The sequence below is a fragment of the Homo sapiens genome, chromosome 11 (genome assembly GCF_000001405.40).
Source record: "Homo sapiens chromosome 11, GRCh38.p14 Primary Assembly".
Classification (NCBI taxonomy): domain Eukaryota; kingdom Metazoa; phylum Chordata; class Mammalia; order Primates; family Hominidae; genus Homo; species Homo sapiens.
The window spans coordinates 57,101,746-57,125,816 of NC_000011.10; the positions used below are offsets into that span (position 1 = coordinate 57,101,746).

The 24,071-nt window shown below is 40.7% G+C and overlaps 1 long non-coding RNA gene across 1 annotated transcript in view, besides 1 other annotated feature; it reads right to left on the minus strand.

The window, feature by feature from the left end:
* The window catches only part of LOC105369309 (uncharacterized), a 189,617-nt gene that overhangs the window by 59,736 nt on the left and 105,810 nt on the right, over positions 1–24,071 (minus strand). The gene's annotated exons all lie outside the window — the stretch shown is intronic.
* Positions 22,721–23,364: an enhancer, noted in NCBI's record as "OCT4-NANOG hESC enhancer chr11:56891940-56892583 (GRCh37/hg19 assembly coordinates)". NCBI's record gives its function as "activates a minimal SCP1, AML or CMV promoter by ChIP-STARR-seq in naive H9 embryonic stem cells {active_cell/tissue: H9 hESC(naive)}" and the evidence as "EXISTENCE:reporter gene assay evidence [ECO:0000049][PMID:30033119]".

The following is a 24,071-nucleotide window of genomic DNA, read 5'->3' on the forward strand; positions in this document are numbered from 1 at the left end:
TTTTCAGCTCCCACACAAATCTAGTAAACCACGAGTCGGGCATTGTGTTCAGAACTTTTGCAACAGCAGTCCTGGCCTTGTTCTATGTCACAGATCCAGTAAATAATAAAGTTAAATGTATGCAAAAGCTCTGAACACAATGCCTGAAACATAATTTGTCCTCAGTCGGGGTTTACTAAATTCTATTTTGGATGCTAGCATGTAGATTAACAACAACAAATAATGGTGCACACAGAATACTGCTTTACAAGTTGAACAGTGTTTACCTAGCAGGACACTTCTGCTAACAAGCATCAAAGATCCTGGCTTTGCTTGCCGTAAGAATTTTAGCCCTGCCTCAGGAGAGTTAGACCATGAAATTTGTGAGTGGCAAAAAGCCAAGAAGGGGAGCAAATATTTTAGAACATAAAATAAAAATCTAGGATAATTTGGTCAAGTCCTGAGTTATGGTTTAAACATACCAGGATGAAAGTGAATGCAAGGAGCTGGGTGTGGTGGCACACGCTTCTCCCAGCTATTCAGGAGGCTGAAGCAGGAGGATCCCTTGAGCCCCTGAGTTCATGGCCAGACTTGGCAATATAATTAGACCTCATCTCTTAAAAAAGAAGAAGAAGAAGAAGAAGAAGAAGAAGAGGAAGAGGAAGAGGAAGAGGAGGAGGAAGAAGAAGAAGAAGAAGAAGAAGAAGAAGAAGAAGAAGAAGAAGAAGAAGAAGAAGAAGAAGAAGAAGAAGAAGAAGAAAGGTATTGCAGGGAAATAGGGAAATGTAAGACCTTCCATTTAGATCCCAAAGACTGATCTCCCAAAAATGAGTTGGAGAATATATAACTTACTCTAGCATGTATGGAAGGGATTCAGGGAATTTGATTAGCAGAAAGTCTACTATGAGTCTATATAATAATTTGAATCTGCAAAATGCTAATAAGACCCAGGCATTTAGAATTAGAGGCAAGGACATATTGAGAGTTTGAGTTTAGTTTTTTTAAGGACTTAGGTAGAATAGGTTATGTGTTTGGAAGACAGGGGCCAGGATGATTACTGAGAGGACTCTCAACCTCATCATCTACAGAATTTTTGAAGGATCCAGTCAAAAAAAGTCACTGGGGTATATGATCACCTATTTCAAATGCTTCTAACAATGGACGAAGAAGTAACATTTATTGTGTAAGCCATCAGGTAGATTCAAAGGGTAGAAGGTGATGCAAGATGACAATATAGAGAGAATTTCTAATCATCAGAACTTCCCAGAGATAAATCACATTTGGTAGATAGAAAGTTCACCTTCAATGGAGGTGTTCCAGCATAAACTGTAGAATCCCCTGACAGAAAGTAGTAGGAAGTTCATAAGCACACGGTGATGGGAAGGCAGATGCCCCTTGAGATCCCTTTTAGTCTCTTTCTCTATCCTATTCTAGTGTTTATGCCACTTTCAATTCAAGTATGTGAAAATACGTGTGTGCAAGACTAAACCTGGGAACAAATATGGAAAGATATGAACAGTTGACAGGTAAATGCACATTAGGTTCCTTCTTCATTTATTCATACTCCCTCATACCTCACACCACATATGTCTGTGTTAATAATAATCTAGATCAAAGAAAATGTAAATCAGAAAATGTCATTTCTGAGAGCAAAGATTAAGGCACTATATTCAAAGGCAGGTCACCAAGGTTCTGTGCAGTTCCTAAGTGAATGACAGATTTGGCACTGAGCTTCCTGGTTGCCAAAGTGAAAAGAGAAACTGCAATCAGTCACAAGATTCTCAAAGGTCAAGAGAAGAAAACATTTCAGTTCTTCAGAGGAGCAAAACTCCTGGCACTTAGCCCTGAAAGGAATTGCTCTTGTGGAGACGCTGATCACTGTTAAAGACAGCGTCCATAACAAGAATCCCTGGAGTAAATACAATAGTGTGGGCCTTAAAGCTGTTTCTTGATGGTGCCTCTGGAAGAAACCTGAGGCTGTGACCCTGGAGCACAATGTGGTAAAAACACTTCTCTCAAAGTGGAAAAAATAACATTTGAATTCTTTATAATCTAGGTAGACCTAAAAATTAATACCTAAAATATATATTTTTTAATTAAGTGGATGACATAAGTTTCACACAATCCTTTATGAATGTTATTTCTCTAAACCAGAGAGTTTGAGCTTATACTCTGTGATAGGGACTTATCCTCCTTAAGCTGATAAGTATTTTCCTTTTTATTTCACTCTTTTCCTTTAACTTTCCTTTTTATTTAGATCATTTCCTTTTCCTCCATATTATACAGGGCCCCTCTCTGCCTCCAGGGCTGTTCCCCTCCTCCAGGCTGTCACCTACTGTCTCTGTGTACAGCTCTCTTTTCCCTTCGTGGTGCGAGGCAGTTTGTGTGACATGTATCCTCCCACTGGGAACTAAATTAAGACATCATAGTCTTGTCACATCAGGCACCTAATAATCACTAGTTGTTTGCTAGCACTGTTCATTTGGGATGAATTCAAAATTCTGATCCTGAAAGAAAGCTGCCAGTTTCCATTAACAGCAATTGCCAATTCAAAGGTCTTGACCGGGAGCTAAAGAATAAAAAGCTAATAGAACAAATGACTAATGGGACTTGAATATACCTTCCGTGATAGGAGAGCTAGTCGAGCATGGGACTGCCTGGAGACTGGGTGGCCATGTGGCTGAGTTCTTGATGGTGGAATGTGAGTGGAAGTTATGCATGTCTTCTGTGCCCTTAAGACAAGAGATGTCCCTCCTGAGCACCACAGCCAGCCTCTAAGATGCCAGACAGCCTCTAAGGTGTTCTCCAGCTGGCCTGAACAACCGCAGGGAGCAGAGTTCAACAACTCACCCTGAAGAGAAAATGAGCCATTGCATTTTGGGGTCCCCTTGTCATAGCAGTTTAACTTCCCCACCCTCCGCATAATTCCAACTGGATAATTCCAAGCTGGCTAGGGACCCATGCCATCTCAGAAGGGCTTGATTGGTGACCAACTTCATCACATATAATCACTTACTTTATTTGAGAAACCTATACTTTCAGAAACTCTTCATACTAAAAGTGTGCTCTTAACCTTTAATCTTAAGAGTTTTCTCTAAGTATGTACATGTGTGTTTTCCACAGATAAAATTTAGTTTGCACTTTTGATGAATCAAGGGTTGAATGCTTGCCTTCTTTATTAATCACAAAAAGTACAATAGTAATATTCCTATGAATCACAATCATTTCTACATGTTCTGTCACAATTTAGAGTGTTCCAGCACCTTATGCTTCCAAAAGTGTGGTATCAGGAATGGTAGATGAGATGTTTTTGGCAGGACACAACTTTTTTTAATTAAATAGCTAAATGGCATTTTAATGTGTATTTAATGTGCCTTCTATTTATGGCAAGTGACTCTACCTCTCAATGAGGTAGTATATTTTTTCTTAAAATAAATTTATGAAAATAAAAAGTAAGACTGTTTAGAGAAAAACATGAGTAGTAGAGGAAACGAGAAAAGTTGTTAAGGTGGTAACGCAAATGACTGAAACTGGGAAACTCAACAATAATTGCAAGACAGATTGAGGAGACATTATGATATTCACTCTATAGTGATGAAATTAATACTCTAAAAATGACGTTGGCCAACTGCATCAATAGACTAACTCAGTGAGATAAATAATACTAACAACTAAAAATTATAGGCACTTTTATCATTTACAAAATACTTTTTCATATTATCTCTTTTAATTTCATAATTGAATGTGTTGACATGTAATATTAAAGCTAATGGAAAATAACACAAGAGTTCTATCTTTAAAAAGACTGAGCATGTATATGATGTTTGTGTTACAGCATTAGTAAAGGAGAGCTCTCATGGGCCTAATCACCTAAGACCTAGGTTCGGAATTCAGGTCAGTTGCTCATGTGGAACCCAGAACAGGCTACTTGTTCAATAGTCAACAGACACTGAACACCTATCATGTGAGAGGCACAGATCCAGGTACTTGGGATAAATCAGTACACAGAATAGCAAAGGTACTTGACCTCAGGGAATTTACCTTCTAATGAAAGAGACTACTATGGTCTGAATGTTGTGTCTCCCAAAATTCATACATTGAAACCTAGTCCTCATTGTAATAGTATTAGAAGGTGGGACCTTTGAGAAATAATTAGGTCATTAGGGCTCCACCTTCATGAATGGGAATGGTGCCCTTATAAAAGAGACTGCAGAAAGCTAACTAGCCTTTCCACCATGTGAAGATGCAGTAAGAAAATACCTTTTATGAATCAGAAGACAGCCCTCACCAGACACTGAGTCTATCAGCACGTTGATCTTGAACTTCCCAGCCTCCAGAATTGTAAGAAATACATTTCTTTGGTTTATAAGTTACCCAGTCTATGGTAATTTATGTAGCAACTTAAATGGACTCAGACAGAGTCATAAACCTCGAAAGTAAATTATAGAATGTATTAGAAGTCAAGAAATGCTCTGTAAAAAGGGAGGAAAGGGGGAAGAGGATAGTATGAAATAGCAGTCAGACTGGGCTTCGTGAAGGAGGTGACATTTGACTTTAAAAAGGCAAGGGCATGAGCCAAAAAGGTGTCTGGGGAAAGGAGAGTCCAGCAAGAAGGACTTACTTAGGGTTTCCTAAGGCCAGCATGTACCTGATGCACTCAGGAAACTGCAAGGAGACCTGTATGATTGGAACAGACTGGGCAACGGGGAAAGTAGCAGGAAGTGGGTTCAGAGAGGTGGAGGTAGGAGGTGCAAATCACGTAGGGCCTTGTAGGCCATTGTTTAGTAACTTCAGCTTTTACCCTAAGTGAAATGGAAAGCCATTGCAGGATTTTGAGCATATGGGTGACATGAACTCACTTATACTTTAAAGGATGACTCTGACTGCCCTGTTAAAAATAGAATATGAGGCTGGGTGCCATGGCTCATGCCTGTAATCCCAGCACTTTGGGAGGACAAGGCAGGCAGATCATGAGGTCAGGAATTCAAAAGCAGCCTGGCCAACATGGTGAAACCCCGTCTCTACTAAAAATACAAAATTAGCCAGGTGTTGTGGCGGGCGCCTGTAATCCCAGCTACTCGGGAGGCTGAGGCAGGAGAATCGCTTGAACCCGGGAGGCAGAGGTTGCAGTGAGCCGAGATCGCCCCACTGCACTGCAGCCTGGGTGACACAGCAAGACTCCATCTCGGAAAAAAAAAAAAAAATAGAATATGGGGGATACAGGGACACCTTTTAGGAGACTATTGCAATAATCCAGGTTAAAGATTATGGTAACTAGGAATACAACCATAGCAGTAGATGTGAGAAGTAGCTGGACTCTGGATATAGGCTAAGGGTGGAGCCATGGAAGTTCCTAATGGACTAAATATAAAGTGTGAGAGAGAGGGGGCAGTTAATTGGACTTAACAATTGGAAGAATAGAATGACAATAACTGAGCTGGGAAAGGCTATAAATAGAGTAGGTTTGGGGATTAAGATCAGGCTTTAATTTTTTATTTATATACATATTTACCATTTCTGGTGTTCTAAACTTCTTTGTGTAGATTCATACTTTTTACTTGTATTATATTTTTTCTGCCTGAAGGAATTCAGGCATTAAAGGAATTCCTTTTAATTTTCCTGTATGACAAGAAAGGACTGCTGGTGATTAACTCTTTCAGCTTGTTTGTCTTGGAAATTTGTTATATTTTGCTTTACTTTTTGAAAGATATGTTCACTGGGTATAGGATTCTAATTCAGCAGTTTTTTTCTTTCAGTATTTTAAAGGAATCATTCTGTGTCTTCTGGCTTCCATTGTTTCCAGTGAGAAATCAGCTGTAATTCTCTGCATTCAATGTCTCTTTTAAAAAATCTATGGTGGCTTTTAAGAATTAGTCTTTATCACTGGCTTTGAGCTACTTGATGATATGACCTCATGGTCATTTTCTTAGTCTTCCTTTTCCTTAGAGTTTGTGGAGCTTCTTAAGTCTGCAGGCTTATAGTTTGTATCAAATTAAAAAATGTTTTCCATCATTATTTCTTCTAATTATTTTTTGGTTCCCTTTCTCTCTCCTTTCTTTTGAGGACTCAAACTACACATATATTAACCTGGTTCAAATTGTCCCAAAGTTCACTGATGCTCTGTCATTTGTTTTCAATCATTTTTCTCTGTGTGTTTCATTTTGGATGGTTTCTATTGCTATGTCTTCAAGTTTAAAAATTTCTTCTTTACTAGCCAGGTGCAGTGGCTCACGCCTGTAATCCCAGCATATTGGGAGGCTGAGGTGGGTGGATCATTTGAGGCCAGGAGTTCAAGAACAGCCTGGCCAACATGGCAAAACACTGTCTTTACTGAAAATACAAAAATTAGCTGGGCATGGTGGCACACACCTGTAATGCCAGCTACACGAGTAACTGAGGCACAAGAATTGCTTGAACCAGGGAAGCAGATGTTGCAGTAAGCTGAGATTGCACCACTGCACTCCATCCTGGGCAACAGAGTGAGACTCTGTCTCAATCAATCAATCAATAAAATTTAAAAAATAAAAATTTCTTCTTTAGTGCCTAATCATCTCTTAATCACATCTAATGTATTTTTTATCTCAGACATTGTATTTTTCACCTGTAAAGGTTAGATTTGGGTTGAATGAAAAGGACTGTGTCTTTCCTTAGCATATACTGCTTCCTCTATTTTCTTGAATTTATGATATTTAGTCCTAATAACTGTTACATAGTCTTTGCCTAATAATTATGTTATCTATTCATTTCTGGGCCTATTTCTATTGATATTTTTTCCTTGTTATGGGTCCTATTTCCTGCTTTTTATTTATGTATTTATGTTATTTATGTATTTATTTATTTATTGGCATGCCTGGTAATTTTGATTGGATGCCAGACTTTGTGAATTTTAGCTTTTCAAGTGCTGGATATTTTTATACTCTTTTAAATATTTTTGAGTTTTGTTTGAGGATGCAGTTAAATTACTCAGAATGTGTTTAATCCTGTTGAGGCTTGCTTTTAAGTTTTGTTCAGTGGGACTAATGTAGCCTTTACACTGAAGTTAATTTTAACTTATTACTGAGGCAATACCCTTCTGAATATTTTTCCCATTACCCCATTTATTACAAAGTTTTCCCACTCTGGCTGGTGGAAACATGAACTATTCCTGGTCTTAGCTGGGCTTCTAAGATTGTTCTGCCTACTGCTTTCTAAAGGTTCTTTCCAAGGCCTCAGGTAGTTTCTTTACATGCATGTGTTCATCAATACTCAGCTGAAAACACAGGAGAATCTACAGATTTCCAAAGGTCTCTCCCTCTGCGTGCATGTGTGTGTGCGTGTATGTGCACATGTATGCAACTTCTCTCTGTGCAGCTCTCTCTTCTCCAGTACTCTGTTCTGTTCATTCTAGCCACCCTGGGATCCCTAAATTCTTAACTCTGTCCTCAACTCAGGAAAATCACAGTTCTGTTTGAATTCTCCATTCCTGGTGCCATGCTCTGGAAACTCTCTCCAGGCATTAATTTGAGACAATCAGAAGGGTCACCTCACTCATTTCCCTTCTCTTAGGGATCTTTGTCCTATGCTGTCTAGTGTCCAATATCTGAAAACCATTGTTTCTTATGTTGAGTTATTTGCTTCAGTTGTCCAAAGTGAGAGGGTCAATCCAGTTGCTCTTACTCCAAAGTTCAGTTTTTAACATGTTGAGTGTGAAATGTCTGTTAGACATCAAAGTGGAGGTAGGAGGCCTACTAAAACACATCTAACTAGGCCCTAACTTCAGAATTTCTGGTTCAGTAGCTCTGGCGCAAGGCCTAAAACTTTGTATTTCTAACAAGTTCCCAGGTAATGCTATTACTGCTTGTCAGGGACCATACTTTGAGAACACCGGCATACTGCAATTTTGCCCCACGATGTGGCTAATGTTTTTTTTTTAATATAAAACAAAAATCAGAGAGTTACTTCTCTGTTAATAATCTTGGACAGATCCAGAGATCTGTAATCTTCAGGATTGGGCTGACCCTGGTCAGTCTTTCCAGCATCCTTTCCCCTCCTTCCTGAACTCCCTGTGCTGGGCTATTCACACAGTACCCTGGCTGTGCCAGGTTTTCCTGGCTTCCCCTGATGTCTTTGTGCCAGGTTCTCCTGGCGTCCCCTGATGTCTTTGCACATGCTGTGACCTCCTTCTGGAAGGTCCTCCTTCTACCATGTTCAGCAGAGTCCAAGTTATCATTTATCAGCTTTGGTATCACTCCCTTTATGGGACCTTTCCTGGCGCTAGGCAGAATTGGGTCTCCCTCTTCTATCTCCCAATAGTGTGTTAGCACTTAGCGGAGTTTCCTAATAACTGTTTTCTTGTCAATCTTCCTCATTATATTTGGACCTCCTTTAGGAGAGGGCTTTTTAAATTATTCTTAATTTATTTCCTTTACTTTGCTCCTAACTGAATGGTAAAGATCTCTAGAGACTTTTTTTTTACTTGCAGGAACACTGTTAGTTGTCCCAATAGTTGGTGGGAGACTACTAGTATTTAGGGAGCAGAGATTACTAAAGCCACAGCATGGTATCTCACAGGCAAGAATAGTCAACATCAACCATGATTTTCAAATATCCCATCGGATATCATGTAAGTGGAAACCTTGTTTATGATTAACTGAACATAGAACCTAACTCTGTGTTACAAAAAAACAAAGTATTTTTGCACAATTTGAACATACAATGGGTTACCTGAATTGCAACTACCACATAAATGGAGGAAAGGTCAGACTTTGTTTTGCTGGGAAATTTAACCAGAAACTTTTACCATTTGGAGAAATCACATAACCAAAAGCAACACTCTCATTGTAGTTGAGTCTTTAACACATGGAAATCATCATGTCAATCTGCATTTGTAGCTGATACATTCGTGATAACATGCAGATGCAAACATCTAACTACAACAGCAGCTGCACTTAGCATTTAAATGTTACTTATTTTTTAAGTTATTTTCCTTTTACTTTTACTTTTCTTTAGAGTTAGAATGATATATTATCTCTTAAAAGTACATTTGCAGGTATGTTATGCTATCTGTAAATTTTATTTCAAGACAGTAGTTAATTATAAATTGTTATGGAGGGAGTCGGTATACAAAGCTGTCACTATCATTCCATAAAATAAAATCCAGATTCCCTGACATGGCATTTGAAATCTTTTACAATTTTGTTCTAGAGCATTTTTCCAATCTCCATTCCAACCTTCTCCCACCTTCCCTTCTCCAGCCACACAGAGTTTCCACCTTCTCTTGTGCACACCATGTTCTCACTCTTTGCACATCTGGACTTCCTCAATCTGGAGTTTTCTTGTCCCCTTCTATTGACTTCCCACTGGGTTTTTTTAAAGCCCTGCTCAACATAATTGCTAGTTTGCCTGCCTTCCTCTCACATCAGTCTATAGTCTCCTCAAGGATAGTATGTTGGCTGAAAGCTTTGGCTTTGATGTAAGCCAACTGGGTTCAAATCCACCTCTGAAACACTCTAGTTGGGTGATCTTGACTTTGGGCAAGCTAACTAACCTTGCTAAAACTCAGTATTTTCTTTTACAGAATAAAGGCAATAATACTTACCTCTCAAGGAGTTTGAAAGAATTAAATGAAATACTGCCTCTACAGCACCTAGCAGAGTACCTATCCCTTAGTAAATGCTCAATAAGTAGTAATTATTGCCATAGTTATTATTCATTCCTTACATTTATCATATTACATAAAACATAGTGGATGGGCAATAAATGCTTGATGAATACATTCATTTGATTCTAATATATACTACTCATCTGAAAAAAAACCATTGGAGACATACCTAACCTCAGAGAAAGTCGTTGAGTGTGATATTGGAGCAGAGTGTTTTCCTGAAGTCTCTTCAGTAACATCATGTGGACAATTATTCCAACCAAGCTCAACCTGTGCCTCTTGACAATTTATAATTAATCCGGATGACCCAGATCCCAGATGAAGGGAAATAGTCAGAAAAATAGAGATAGTTGCTCTTTTATGCAAGCTTATGTTCCAGAATATAGATAATCCCTTTAAACAGGAATTTTTAGACTGTGTAGGAAGACATGCCTCATACTTTGCTCCAATTTAAAACAAGCACTGGGATTGGAGTGGAGCCAAGGACTCTGACATTAATGGAGGAAGAAATGAGCAGGCTCATTTCCCTGTAGAAATAGACAGAGGGAGAAGTCGATGTTCTTTACACTGATAACAACCCAAAAGGAGAATTGAGAAAGGAGAGTGCATTCAATCACAAAAACAGCCAGAGAGATGTCCCTATCCCCATGCCCACTAGCAATTACCAGGGCAAGATTGGTTCTGTTTCTGTACCCCTATAGTTCTGCAATAGAACTGAAGTATGTATTTGGATTACAAGTTTTTTCACTCAATTACCTGTAACTGCCAACTGAAATTTGGTGTTATTTAAATAACTTTTGTGTTATTTTGACCTAGAATTACAGAAACTTAAAAAGGTCAAATTTTATAGTTAAAAGAGTCGTGAGGGATCATTTCTTTCTGTTACTGTCTTTATGTTTAAATGTCATCTAAGCAACATTTTCTACAGTAACCACTACAAGTTTATTAAGAATGGATTTTGGGGGAAACCCATTTGGAAACTGATTAATTTTTCAGATGTCCTATCTCAGCACTTCAGTTGATTGACAACACATAGTGCAGTTGTCAAGCTACGTTAGACCAAAAGACCTCATGCAGGCAGTTTTGGTTTTCTATTAAAATGTAATTTATAATAGGTATTATTTAGCTGTGCTTTTTATTTGCAAGGTATAAAGCATTACAGTTGACCCTTGAACAATACAGGTTTGAATTGCCCCAGTCCACTTGTAAGCAGACTTTTTCCAATAAAATTTATACTTAATGTGCCTGCCTCTCCTGCCTCCCCTTCCCCTTTCTCCACCTCTTCTGCCTCCTCCGAAACAGCAAGATCAACCCTTTCTCTTCCTCCTCCTCAGCCTACTCAACATGAAGACAATGAGGATGAAGAACTCTATGATAATCCACTTCCACAATGAATAGTAAATATATTTTCTCTGCCTTATGATTTTCCTAATAATATTTTCTTTTCTCTGGCTTACTTTATTGTAAGAATACAGTATATAATACATATAACATCCAAAATATGTGTTAATCAATTGTTTGTTACCAGTAAGTCTTCCTGTCAACAGTTGGCTATTAGTAGTTACATTTTTAGGGGTTTAAATTCATAAGCATATTTTTGCCTAAACAGGGGTCAGCATTCCTAACCCTCACATTGTTCAAGAGTCGACTGTATTTTGTGGCCAGGTTCTGTGGTTCACGCCTGCAATCCCAGCACTTTGGGAGGCCAAGACGGGTGGATCACTTGAGGTCAGGAGTTCAAGACCATCCTGGCCAACATGGTGAAACCCTGTCTCTATTAAAAATACAAAAGTCAGCCAGGCATGGTGGTGCATGCCTGTAGTCTCAGCTACTTGGAAGGCTGAGGCAGGAGAATCGCTTGAACCTGTAAGGCACAGGTTCAGTGAGCCAAGGTTGTGCCACTACACTCCAGCCTGGGTGACAGAGCAGGACTCTGTTTCAAAAAAAAATAAATTAATGTTAAAAAAAAAAAGGAGTCAACTATATTTTGCTTAATGCAAACACCTAAATGTCAAGTGGCTCTGCATCTCACCAGACTCAACTGGGATCCATGATTAATAAATTAATTATTTGTTTCCTTATTTACTCTTAGGGAAAGGCTTTCCATCTCACATGTTGGTGCTTTGGATCTGTTCACATTCCACTTGCTTCTCCTTGAATAGCTGAAGAAGTAAACTCAAACCAAGTTTATATATTGAAGTCTTAAAATATAAAGTCCTAAACTAAAACCAACCATAGTACTTCTTGGCTTCCAATCCCTTCATAATCTGATGCTTCTTCATCTCTCCAGCCTCACTTCCCATCCTTTTCTAGTGACATGATATTCCTTTGAGTTGCTCAAACATGCCTTGCTTTCTCATTTCCAGCCTTCATATATGCTGTTCTCTCTGCCTGGGACACTGTTCTTCCCATTACTCCTCATTGCTCAAGTCTAGATTTAAATCTCACTTCTCCCTGAAGGTCTTCTCTAAACTCTAGGCCCGGTAAGATGTTGCTGCAATGTATCCTCATAGCACCCTGTATTTCCCCACTTAGGGAGTTATCTGCTTTCTCCACTGAACAATAAGATTCACAATATCTATCTCGGCCACCAGGAACATGCATGATATATATACTCTGTAAACATTAGCTGAATACATATATTGATGAATGCATCAGCTGTTTCAATCACCTTCACGTGTTAAGACAATATCTCCTTTCACATATGAATTGACCAAATTCTAATGAGCTTAAGAGATTTGTCCAACACCGCTATAGCATTTTGGCATCAGAACTGTTACTCAAGTCTCCCATTTTTATTATTATATTATTTATGGTTACAAACCAAAATATCCTCTAGGGTCATCAGTGAAATGGAAGGGATGTAAGACCATAGGTGATGGAGGGGGCTGTGACAAACTGAAGGACTCATGCCTCATTTGAGGGGAGCATCCGATATTCAGACCTAGCCAATTGTTGCCATAGAACGGGGTCCAGTGTTGCCAGATCTTCTTTTTTTCAAAAGAAAAATAAACCCATAAGTTTATGTGAAATATTCTGGATTTTAATACTAGCAAAATAAAATGTATTTGATGTAATATACTGGGCATCCTAAACAAAATACTCATATACTAGGCATGGACTCTAAGGCCCCAGTGTGCCATCTCCACACTGCACTGAGCTGCTTCTTTCTACACAACCCAGACCTATGGAGAGACCTTCCCTTGTTCCAACAACCAGCACTCAGGCAATCCTGTAATCCCCCTGTAGTTGAGAATTGAAAAATTCAATAAAACACAATTGCCTTTTAAGAGAGACACTCAGCTCTCCAATTGCTTTAGAATCGATCGACCCCCCACTGCATTAAGTTCAGCTCCCACACAGGCTATGGTAACTCTTATGATCTCACATAACAGAAAACAAAACTCTGCAAAAGTGGAAGAACAATTTTTTTTCCAGGAGATAACAAAGTACCACTTATACAAAGAAAGAAGACTGGATCTTATTTCTGGAGAAAAATGGCACCAAAGTTTCTACTTTCCTCCCCACTGTTACAACTAATCAGTGTATGACAACAGAGAGACTCGCCTAGCATTAGACTCAGAGGAGTTTGGTTTGCAGTCTGGCCCTTGCTCTTGAAGCTCCATGATCTCAAGTAAGTAGAACCTGTTGAGAGCCTCAGTGTTCTCATGGATAAAATAAGAAGAAAGTCTACCTCCTCCCAGGGCTGCAGTGAGGAAGGGACCAGGGAAGAGGCAGGTAGAAGGGCTTTGCCACCTGTCATATACCACACCAGTGTTAAGAGTTGACAATAAGTGGGGCTAACTGAACTTCGTTATTCCTGTGAACCTATTCTAGGTAGGAATGCCTGGCCCTGAATTCCTCTTCTGGACTTGAATGTGGTCCAGTGGAATTGCAAAGTCAGGATGAGAATTAATTTCTCATCATAGAGAAGAGAAATCCTATTTTTGTACTCTAGAGCCTATTTATCTAATTTTTACCCCCTCACTCTCTTCTGATATGGTTTGGCTGTATCCCCACCCAAATCTCAGCTTGAATTGTAGTTCCCATAATCCGCACGTGTCATGGGAGGAACTTGGTGGCAGGCAATTGAATCATGGGGGCAGTTACCCCCATGCTGCTGTTCTCATGATATTGAGTGAGTTTTCATGAGATCTGATGGTTTTATAAGGATCTTTTCCCCCTTTTTTGCTCATTCTTCTCCTTCCTGCCACCACATGAAGAAAGGCGTGTTTGCTTCCTCTTCCACCATGATTGTAAGTTTCCTGAGGCCTCCCCGGCCCTGCAGAACTGTAAGTCAATTAAGCCTCTTTTCTTTATAAATTACCCAGTCTTGGGAAGTTCTTTATAGCAGCATGAGAACAGACTAATACACTTTCTTATTCAAATATCAAGAAAGAGTCATAGGTTTTCCCCATTACTGATTCCCATCAATTTCTCTATAACTTCTCGAGAGCACCACTTGATGTCTACTAGGCTCTTACAGGTACCATTCTCTGCACTTACTTGTATTTATTCATTTGATTCTTACATCTAAACAACTGGTCTAAAACCCACTGCTAGAAAGTAATAAAGTCGGGATTTGAATTCTGTTCCTCTGGCTTCAGACCCTGAGCATTTAGCCACAATAATACATTATTTCCCCCTCCATGCACTGGAATCTGCTTTTGCATCTACCATTTGTTCATTCATTCACTCTTTTGACAATTCTAGACTGAGTGTCTACAATACGCCATACCCTCGTGAAGCTTATATTCCAAAGGAAAGAAAAAATGAATAAATTAAATAAGTTAAATATATATATACAGTAGGCAAGCTAGTAATCAATGCTAAGGATAAAAAAATTAAACAGGTAAGAGAGCTATGATAGCATGGGCAGGAGACTAGTCCAACAGTTGGAATGTGGGATCTACAGGCAGTTATAACAGTCAGGGGCTCAGCACCAGGCACAGAGTGCATACAAACCAAGGGAACATGGCAGACTTGTAGGAAAGAGACCCAACCAGTATTAAGCCCTGACTTTGTGCCAAACACAACATGTACAACATAAGTTGTCTCATTTGCCTTCTATCTTATTCACCTATGGTATCATTATATCAACTTAACAAGCCAGAATTTTTAATAACTTTGTTATTAATACTAACATGTACCAGGCCAAGTTCTTAGCACTTTGCATATATCTTATTTGAGCCTCTGAGGAAGGTATTGTTATCCTTTCTCATCAAAAATGAAATGAAGATAAGGGAGTTTACTGAGTTTACTCAAGGTTACCCAGCCAGCAAGTGGCAGGGACAGGATTCAAACACAAGCAGGGTTTCAAACCCAAATGTCTTGCTTCTAAACTAAATAACCTGCTGTATAGAGGTCAGTAAACAAGGATCCCAGCTGGAAAGCAGTGTCAAGAACATGGCAGCAGGTGGCAGCAAATGTATTAGTCTGCCGGGGCTGCTATAACAAACCACAGAATGGATGGCTTAAACCACAGAAATGTATTTCTCACTGTTCTGGAAGTCCAAAATGAAGGTGTCTGCGGGTTTGCTTTCTTTGAGACCTCTCTCCTTGGCTTACAGACAGCTGCCTTCTCACAGGGTCGTCACACAGCCTTTCCTCAGCACATGCGCCCCCGGGTGTCATTCTCTCCTCTTATAACAGCATAACAGCACTAATCATATTGTTCTTTGTTGTTGTTATTTTTTTTTAGACTGAGTCTTGCTCTGCTGCCCAGGCTGGAGTGCAGTGGTGTGATCTCTGCTCACTGTAACCTCCACCTCCTCCCAGGTTCAAGCAATTATCCTGCCTCACCCTCCCAAGTAGCTGGGTAATTTTTTAGCCTCACTAATTTTTGTATTTTTAATAGAGACAGGTTTCACCATGTTGGCCAGGCTGGTCTTGATCTCTTGACCTCAAGCGATCTGCCCACCTCCACCTCCCAAAGTGCTGGGAGTACAGGTGTGAGCCACCGCACCCAGCCAGCACCAGTCATATTGGATTAGGGCCCCATACTTATGACCTCCTTTAACTTTAATTACCCCTTTAAGGCATTGTCTCCAAATAAAGTCACACTGGGGGTTAGGGCTTCATCATATGAATTTTAGGGGGACAGAATTCAGTCTATAACAGCAGGTAACAGAACTCCAGTTCCTTCGGGAAGAGGAATGAGATGATTGAGAAAATGGAAGTCAAGATGCAACCTTATTATAACTAGAGTACCAGTTCTGGCCAGTGGGAAAGTGGAGATGATGGAGTAGGGGTGTGAGATGAGAGTGAGCAGCAGGCTTGCCCTGAGTCACCTACTGTATGATCGAGAGCGCCTTCAGTGTGCTGAGGCTGGAGGTTATGCCCTCGGTGTCTTACCCTGCAGTCCTGCAGTAGGAGGCAGGGGTGTGGGCACCAGAGCTACTGGGCAGAGAACGAAGAAAGTCATTTCACTGCTGTAGGAGCAGCCAGCTCATGGCTTCTCTCTAAAACTGGTGTACAATTTACAAAAAACAAAAAAAAAAATCAACCCCATAAAAAAGTGAGCAAGGACATGAACAGACAGTTTTCAAAAGAAGACATACAGACATACATGTGGCCAACAATCATATGAAAAAACAGCTCAACATCACCGATCACTAGAGAAATGCAAATGAAACCACAATGAGATACCATCTCACACCAGTCAGAATGGCAATTATTTAAAAAGTCAAAAAATAACAGATGCTGGCGAGGTTGTGGAGAAAAAGGAATGCTTATACAATGGTGGTAGAAGTGCAAATTAGTTCAACCATTGTGGTAAACAGTGTGGCAATTCCTCAAAGACCTAAAGTCAGAAATCCCATTCAACTCAGCAATCTCATTACTGGATTTATATGCAAAGGAATATAAATCATTCTATTATAAAGACGCATGCACACATATGTTCATTGTAGCACTATTCACAATAGCAAAGACATACTCTCAACCTAAATGCCCATCAATAATAGACTGGATACAGAAAATGTGGTACATATATACCATGGAATACTATGAAGCCATAAAAAAGAATGAGGTCATGTCCTTTCCAGAGACATGGATGGAGCTGGGGGCCATTATCCTCACCAAACTAACACAGGAACAGAAAACCAAATACCACATGTTCTCACTTACAAATGGAAGCTAAATGGTGAGAACACACGGACACATATAAGGGAACAATAAACTCTGGGGCCTTTTGGAGGGTAGAGGGTGGAAGAAGGAAGAGGATCAAGAAAATCAACTAATGGTTACTAGGCTTAATACCTGGGTGATGAAATAATCTGTACAACAAACCCCCATGACACAAGTTTACCTATGTAACAAACCTGCACTTGTACCCCTGAACTTAAAAGTTAATAAAGAAATAAATAAACTGGTGTGCCTATTCCCATCATTAATGAGCTCTACTTATTCTCTATACATCAGCACCATCCTCTATAACTTGTGTGCATGAGTGTATATGTATCTATCCATCTGGGAGTGGTAAGCAGAAAGAAAGAAAGAGAGAGAGGTAAATTATGTTAAAGAAAGAGAGGAGGAGAGAGAATAAAAATGAGAATCACAAGGGGAGGGAGGGAGAGAAGGGGGCATCCAGGGAATGAAGATCTATGGGGTTGGACCCCATGCAGAGACCCTTATCCTTGTATAGTCGTCAGGTGCCTGGCAACTGAGGAATCCAGGAGGCTCTATAAGCAAGGCTGATTTTCTTGTCTGTGGGCCTGAGGATATCTAATTTATAAAGAGTCTAGACCAGAGTTTCCCAACCACTCTGCCTACCTTAAAGCAGCCAGGCTGGATCTGAGCAGCCAAAGTCCTGAAGCATCTACCAGGATGCCAAACAAATGTTAATTCTATTCATGGAATAGATAGGCCATGGAAAAGGTTAGGGAGCACTGCTGCAGACCAGAACTTCCCAAATGTGTGAAAAGAGGGCTCCACAGTCACTTTAGAAAATGCTGTGTATTGTATACCACTTTGTGAATATACTCACAAAATGCAGCAGCATAATAAAGGCTCTGAGAAGCTCTCAGTTTAGGGAACAAGGTAGGAGACCTGTTAACTTTGCTTAGGCCTTCCAGTATCAGACTATATAGCTGGTTAACTTACATCCTTAAATCCAATAAAGCCAAGGATGGGAAACCCTATATCTCCCAGCCCAAATGCACGTTCTTTCTTTTCAGGAAGTGCTAATTCTCCTACCAGGTGATGCTTGCTGAAGCACAGGCAGTCTCTAAGATTAGATGGCCATCTTCCAGGCCAAGCAATAGGTGGTAAAGAAGTCAATCAATGTGTCCTTACCGGCCTAGTCTCCTGCTGGCAAACCAGCACATGCCTCCAACCAATAGTTCAGCGGCCAGAAACAAGCTTGTTGCAAGTTGTATGTTAGGGGTTGGCCAAGCACAGATTTAATTCTTAAGGTTTGGAACCATAGCTCAAGGGGCTAAAAATTCACTATTAAAATTGTGAAAAATTTGCGTGAGTCTAGAGAGTATGCGTGATTCGAGACAGACCGCAGCTCCTTTAACAGGCCTCAATTTTTCCAACGTATAAAAGGAGTGGGTTGGGTGATAACATAGGATGAATTGTGTCTCCCAAAATGTATATGGTAAAGTCCTAACCTTTAGTACCTAAGAATGTGAGTATATTTGGAGCTAGGACCTTTAAAGGGGTAATTAAAATTAAATGAGATCACTAGGGTGAGTCCTTACTCAATATGACTGGTGTCCTTATAAGAAGACAAGATTAGAACACAGACACAACACGAAGGGACAACCATGTGAGGAAGCAGTGAGAAGGCAGTCATTTGAAAGGAGAGAGGCCTCAGAAGAAACCAAACTTGCTGACACCTTCCTCTTGGACTTCCAGCCTCCATAATTGTGAGAAATAAGTTTCTGTTGTTTAAGCCTCCCAGCCTACAGCATTTTATTATGACAGCCTGGTAAACAAATACAGATGAATAAAGTCTCCAGAGTGAGCACTTAGTTGCCTATCAAACACCCCTTCCCTCCTGCTTCCTTACTAATGTAAACCACCTTTATTCAAAATTCACAGCATGAATAATCTAAGCAACTGTGTTTCAGTTTATCCCTGTTGCCAGTGAGTGGCTGAGAAACAGGCATATGACCAAAATCAAACCAGAAGACATTAAAAGAAGACTCTTGGGGCCTTCTAGGAAGAGTTTTCTCACCCCTTTTGGAAAGGCAAAGTAGGTATGGCCTCTTGTTTCTCTAAAAATGTTTGTGTCTCACTGAGACACCTGAAACTTCTGCAGCTAATTTGTAACCAACAGGGAGCCTGGCTGAAGGCAAAGACAATTTCCTAAGGATTGCAAAGAGGATAGATGAGTAATGACATCTCTGTCTACTATCTCACGCTAACCTGCAGCACCTCCCACCTCAGGACTTTCAGGGATGGCTGATTTTTAAAATTCCTTTTTATTTAAACCAGTCAGTTTTCTGTGATCACAGCTGAAAGCATCCAATCAGAGGCATTCCATCATCCTTTCCAGCCCCATTACTTCCTAGAAGCTATATTTCTAAGGCCACTCGCAACAGTAAACGTGTTAAAGAGAACCTTACAAACATGAGCTCCCCACATCTCTAAGAAGTAGTAAGATATTGTGATATAATAAGAAATACATATTTGGTCTTCATTTCTTGTTTCTGACACAGAGCTCCTAAATCCCTTGGAATTTCCTGGGTGAGAGGAATATCTTTTGTTCTAATGAGATAATTCTTTTTTGTTTGTTTGTTTTTGTTTTTTTTTTTTTGACATGGAGTCTCACTCTATCACCCAGGCTGGAGTGCAGTGCAGTGGCGTGATCTCGGCTCACTGCAAAGTCCACCTCCCTGGTTCAAGCAATTCTCCTGCCTCAGCCTCCCAAGTAGCTAGGACTACAGGCATGTGCCACCACACCCAGCTAATTTTTTGTATTTTTAGTAGAGACGGGGTTTCACCATGTTAACCAGGATGGTCTCGATCTCCTGACCTCATGATCTGCCGACCTCAGCCTCCCAAAGTGCTGGGATTATAGGCATGAGCTACTGCTACCAGCCAGTGAGATGATTCCTGGTAGCTCCTGAATGGGGGCTGGTCACCAGAAAGACCAAGCCATGACTGGAAGCTCAGAACTTTTAGCCAACCCCCTGCTCCTATCCTTGGGTGAGGGGAGAGGAGCTGGAGATTGAGTTAATAATGATCATTTCTACATAATGAAGTTTCCACAAATTACCTTGCATAATAAAGCCACATTATGCCTATGTGATGAAACTCTCCTAAAGTATGAGGTTCAGAGAGCAGAAGGGTCAATAAACAAGAACACATCGCACGCCAGGAGGGTGGTGTACCCCAACTACATGGGGACAGAAGCTCCTGCTCTTGGGGCTTTTCCAACCCCCATGGGCCTTTTCATCCTCTATCCTTTTTATAAGCAAGTGTTTCTCTGAGTTCTGTGGCACTGTCATAGCAAGTTATCCACCCTGAGGAGAAGGTTATGGGAATCCTCCATTTATAATGGGCAGCTGAGAATAAAAGAGGCCTGGAGGTGAGACTGGCATCTGAGGTGGGGGCAGTCTTGTGGGACTGAGCCCTTAACTTGTGGGATCTGGTTCCAACTTCAGGTAGGTTGTGTCATTATTGAATTCTAGGACACCCAGTTGGTGTTGGGAGAATAAGAGAGCTGGTTGGTGTTGGGAAAAAAAGAAAACCACACATCCAGTGTGGAAAGTGAAGCGTTCTGTGAGTACAGAAGGAAAAACCATTTGTTTTTCCTATATGGGTAGGGACTATCTTTAGGCCCATTTAAATAAAGAACAGGGGTTAAAAGGTTAAGTAATCTGAGACAACAGAGTGGCTTAGCCCAGAATGTGAAACCTGTCTGACCTGAGATCTTTGCTCTTACCCACTCTCTACCAGAAACTCTGAGAAAAAAAAACAGAAATTTTTCCAATCAGCCAGAAAGTTGCTGAGGGTCAGGGATAGAAATCCTTAATCATTCAGAAAGCCTCAATTTGAGAAATCTATCTTTTCAGAATCTCTTAAACTCCTTGAAACTCTAAATTGCTGCCAGAATGTTAGGAAGGGCTGATAAGCCCTTTGAATTCTTGTGCTATACTTTGGATTCTTCAATCATGATGATGAATCCCCAGCTAATTTCTACCATCTTTTTTTAAGAGATTGCACTATTTTCCAAACAATGTGCAATTAGGCATTGATTTTTATTATTAGTCCAAAGTCACATTGTTCTTCCTCTCTCTTTTTTCAGCTAACTGTTGGAGGTTGCTAAAGGTTTTTTTTATCTATTCAATAGAAAAAAATTATAAATATTTATTATGTAAAAATTACTGTAAAGAAAAGAGGACAGAACATAAAAAAGAAATGATCTATCACAGAACAAAAGTTATTGATCTTGAGATGTAACAAAAGACATTTAGGCAGGTTCTCAAGCAGGACTTTCTAACTAGAAGAGTAAAAGATATTGAAAGTGTTAACCAGAAAGCACATAATGAAATATCTCACAGAGTTTCTCCCAAAAAAAAGGGTGTGGAAATTTTAGGTGCAAACTTTCTTGATTGTGAAGGAGCAAGACTAGTTGTTTTGTTTTTGTTTTTGTTTTTTGTAACCATTTGGTTACAAAAAAAATTCAAACTAACTTAAATAAAAAGAGTTTACTGGAATGATATAGGAGTATCTTACAGAAGCCAAGCACAGGAACACCAAAAACAAAAGTCATTCAGCTGCCAAGGCCATCCCTCCCTGTCTTTCTCTTGCTTCCTTTTTTTCTTTATTTGCTTATCTTTCTCTCTCTCTTTTTCACTCTCTTTCATTACATTGTCATTCAGTTTGTTTTCAAAGCATTCTCTCTGCAAATGAGCTCTTCCTGTTGTACTACATACATCCCATTACCCAAGATGGCCCCTTCAGATCTCAATTCTAGATCATCTGAGAAGGTCAAGACACACAGCAAGCTAAACAATTATCTCTGCAACCCAATTCCAAATTTTCTGGGGAGGGTATGATTGGGCCAGCCCAGGTTCTGGGTTGTTCTCCTGAGCCAGGTACCCACTACTTGCCCAATCAGCTGTGACTAGAGAATAAGAAATATTCCCTAAGAACATGGACTAGAGTCCATTTCTGCTTACATGGGATGGGGAGAGCAAGGCAGAACAACTGTTCTCAGATTATACGGTGGGAGCTGGGTGAGTTCCCCAAAGGCTGTCTGCTGCACGTGATCTTTAGGGCTTTCTTCCACCATGAAATTCTCTATTCAAGAAGTTTTAATGATGACTTGGCTTCACCCTGCCCACCCCCTCCATTTCTCAAACGCAAATGCAAATAGGCAGGAGAAAGGAACTCGAGGCAGTGCCCGGCTCTGCTCCTCAGTTACGGAAGCTGGGCCCTAGGGTGGCGTTTCCTCCCAGAAGAAGTATGGGATGGAAGTGGTATTATCTTCAGCCTAAGCGAGGAAGCACAACCTCGGCAATTTCCTGGACCTTGCCCTCAGCTAATTAGCACTTTCACCCATCAGCCTCAGCTCAGCCCCAGAGTTAACCCTTTACCCGCCTCCATCAATCCTCGTGCCTCAGATTTCTCAAATCCCCTGCCCACCTCAAACACACACACAAATGTGTAGCGGGAATGGAACAGGGCTCTGCTCAGGCCATTCGCCTGAGTCCCTCATCCACATTGCCTACATAGAGGACTTTCTATTAAATAAAATGAAAAAAAAAGGTCATTGTGGTACTCCCCTGCTCCAAACCCTTCTCTGCATCCCCTCTATCAACAGGACATGGGTCCTTGACTTGGGCTAGAAGGTCCTGCAGACACAGCCCTGTATATCCCACTAGACTTGTCTCAGGCTCCTCTACAGTAGACATAGCCCATGTTTCAGCCTTCACTGAATTGTCTGCAGTTCCCTAACTCGCAGTATGATGTTCCCATCTCTGCACATTGCTACATGCTCCTCCTCCCATTTGAACTGCACCTCTTCTCCTCAGCCGCTCATGGCTATGCCCCTGCTTCTGCGGTGGCACTATGGCACCAGGAGGAAGTTATCTGGGTTCATGTCTGCTCTCTGTATTGAGCTTTTAACTCCTTAAAAGCAAGGACTCTGCTCTGCTCAGGGCCATATATCCAGGGCTGAGGGGAGTGTTAGTGCATCACGAAATGCTTGAAGGAAGAACACAAGAGAGAATGCAAATGAGAAGAACAGGAAAGAAACAGGGAAGGAAGAAATCTTCCTTCCCCTTAACAATGTCCCTGACCAGCTGTGAAAACAAAGGCAGGTGGTTCTCGGACAGAGCATACTTCTTCGATCAGTCCTAGGCTTTACAGCTTTCAGAACCCATTCATACACAAAAGCTCATTTGATCCTCATACATCCCTGTTAGGCGAACAACAATTGCCCCCATTTTACAAAGAGGAAAGACAAAAGCTAGAGAAGTTAAGTGACTTGAAAGAGCACCAGCGAGTCTCGGCATTCAGAGCCGAGGGGATTCCTTCCCCACAAGAGGATGCTTTCCTGGTCAGCAGAGATCAACTGTGCAAGGGGTTGGTGGTCTCTGAAGTGTCCCAGGCTGGCTTAGCCTGGAGGCGATCCCACTTTGAGCAGCCACCCAGGAGCTGGTGTCCCCACTCACTGCCCAGTTCCTACCACAGTACAAACATCATATTATTTCCCTGGGTCGAACAGCCTGACGCCAGCTCAGCTTCCTTCTGGCCCCTGTCTCTGTCCTACATCTGGGGAGACAGTGAATAATCCTTCCTTTCTTTCTGGAGGTTGTTGCCTTCAAGGTATTTATAGACTGCTCCTGGCCCCGCTGAGGCATCTTTTCTCTCCTGTTTAAATTTAGCTGCCTTTGTCTTCTTCCTCTGACTTATCTGCTGATCCTGCCTGGATTTCCTCTACTGCCTTTGTTCTCCCTGTGTTTGTTCCACATGTCTCTCATCTGCTGAGCCCAACGATCTCACCAAAGAGTTTCTCTGAAGCCTTATATAACTTTCTCCTCCATGCTCAGACCTCTCCAACAATCCTCTCTCTGCCCACTTTTCACTTTCTCTTGCAGCAAGTTTCACCTTTATCTTCTCTCAATCCAGTCCATTTGCAAAAAGGGAAAACTGGCATGGCCAATTTGCAAACAGCCAGAACAAAAGACTTTTCGATCTTGTCTGCCATTTTTACTTTTAAAGGCTCCTGGTTTTGACATGTCTAACTTGAGTCGCACATCTCAGAATCATTTTGTCTTATGTGTGCGTAGACGTGTCAAAGTCTTGGGCATCTTTGTTCTTTCAAAACTGACCATAAGACAGTTCTTGTCTTAGCACCGGAAAGAGCAATTGCTCTCAAAATCCAGAGGAGGAAAGTGCACTGTTTTGCCTGTAATAACATTTAATAGCTATAAGGTAGATCGAGATGAGATGTCCCACCTCTAAATCATAAAGGGGTCTCTGATCCTAA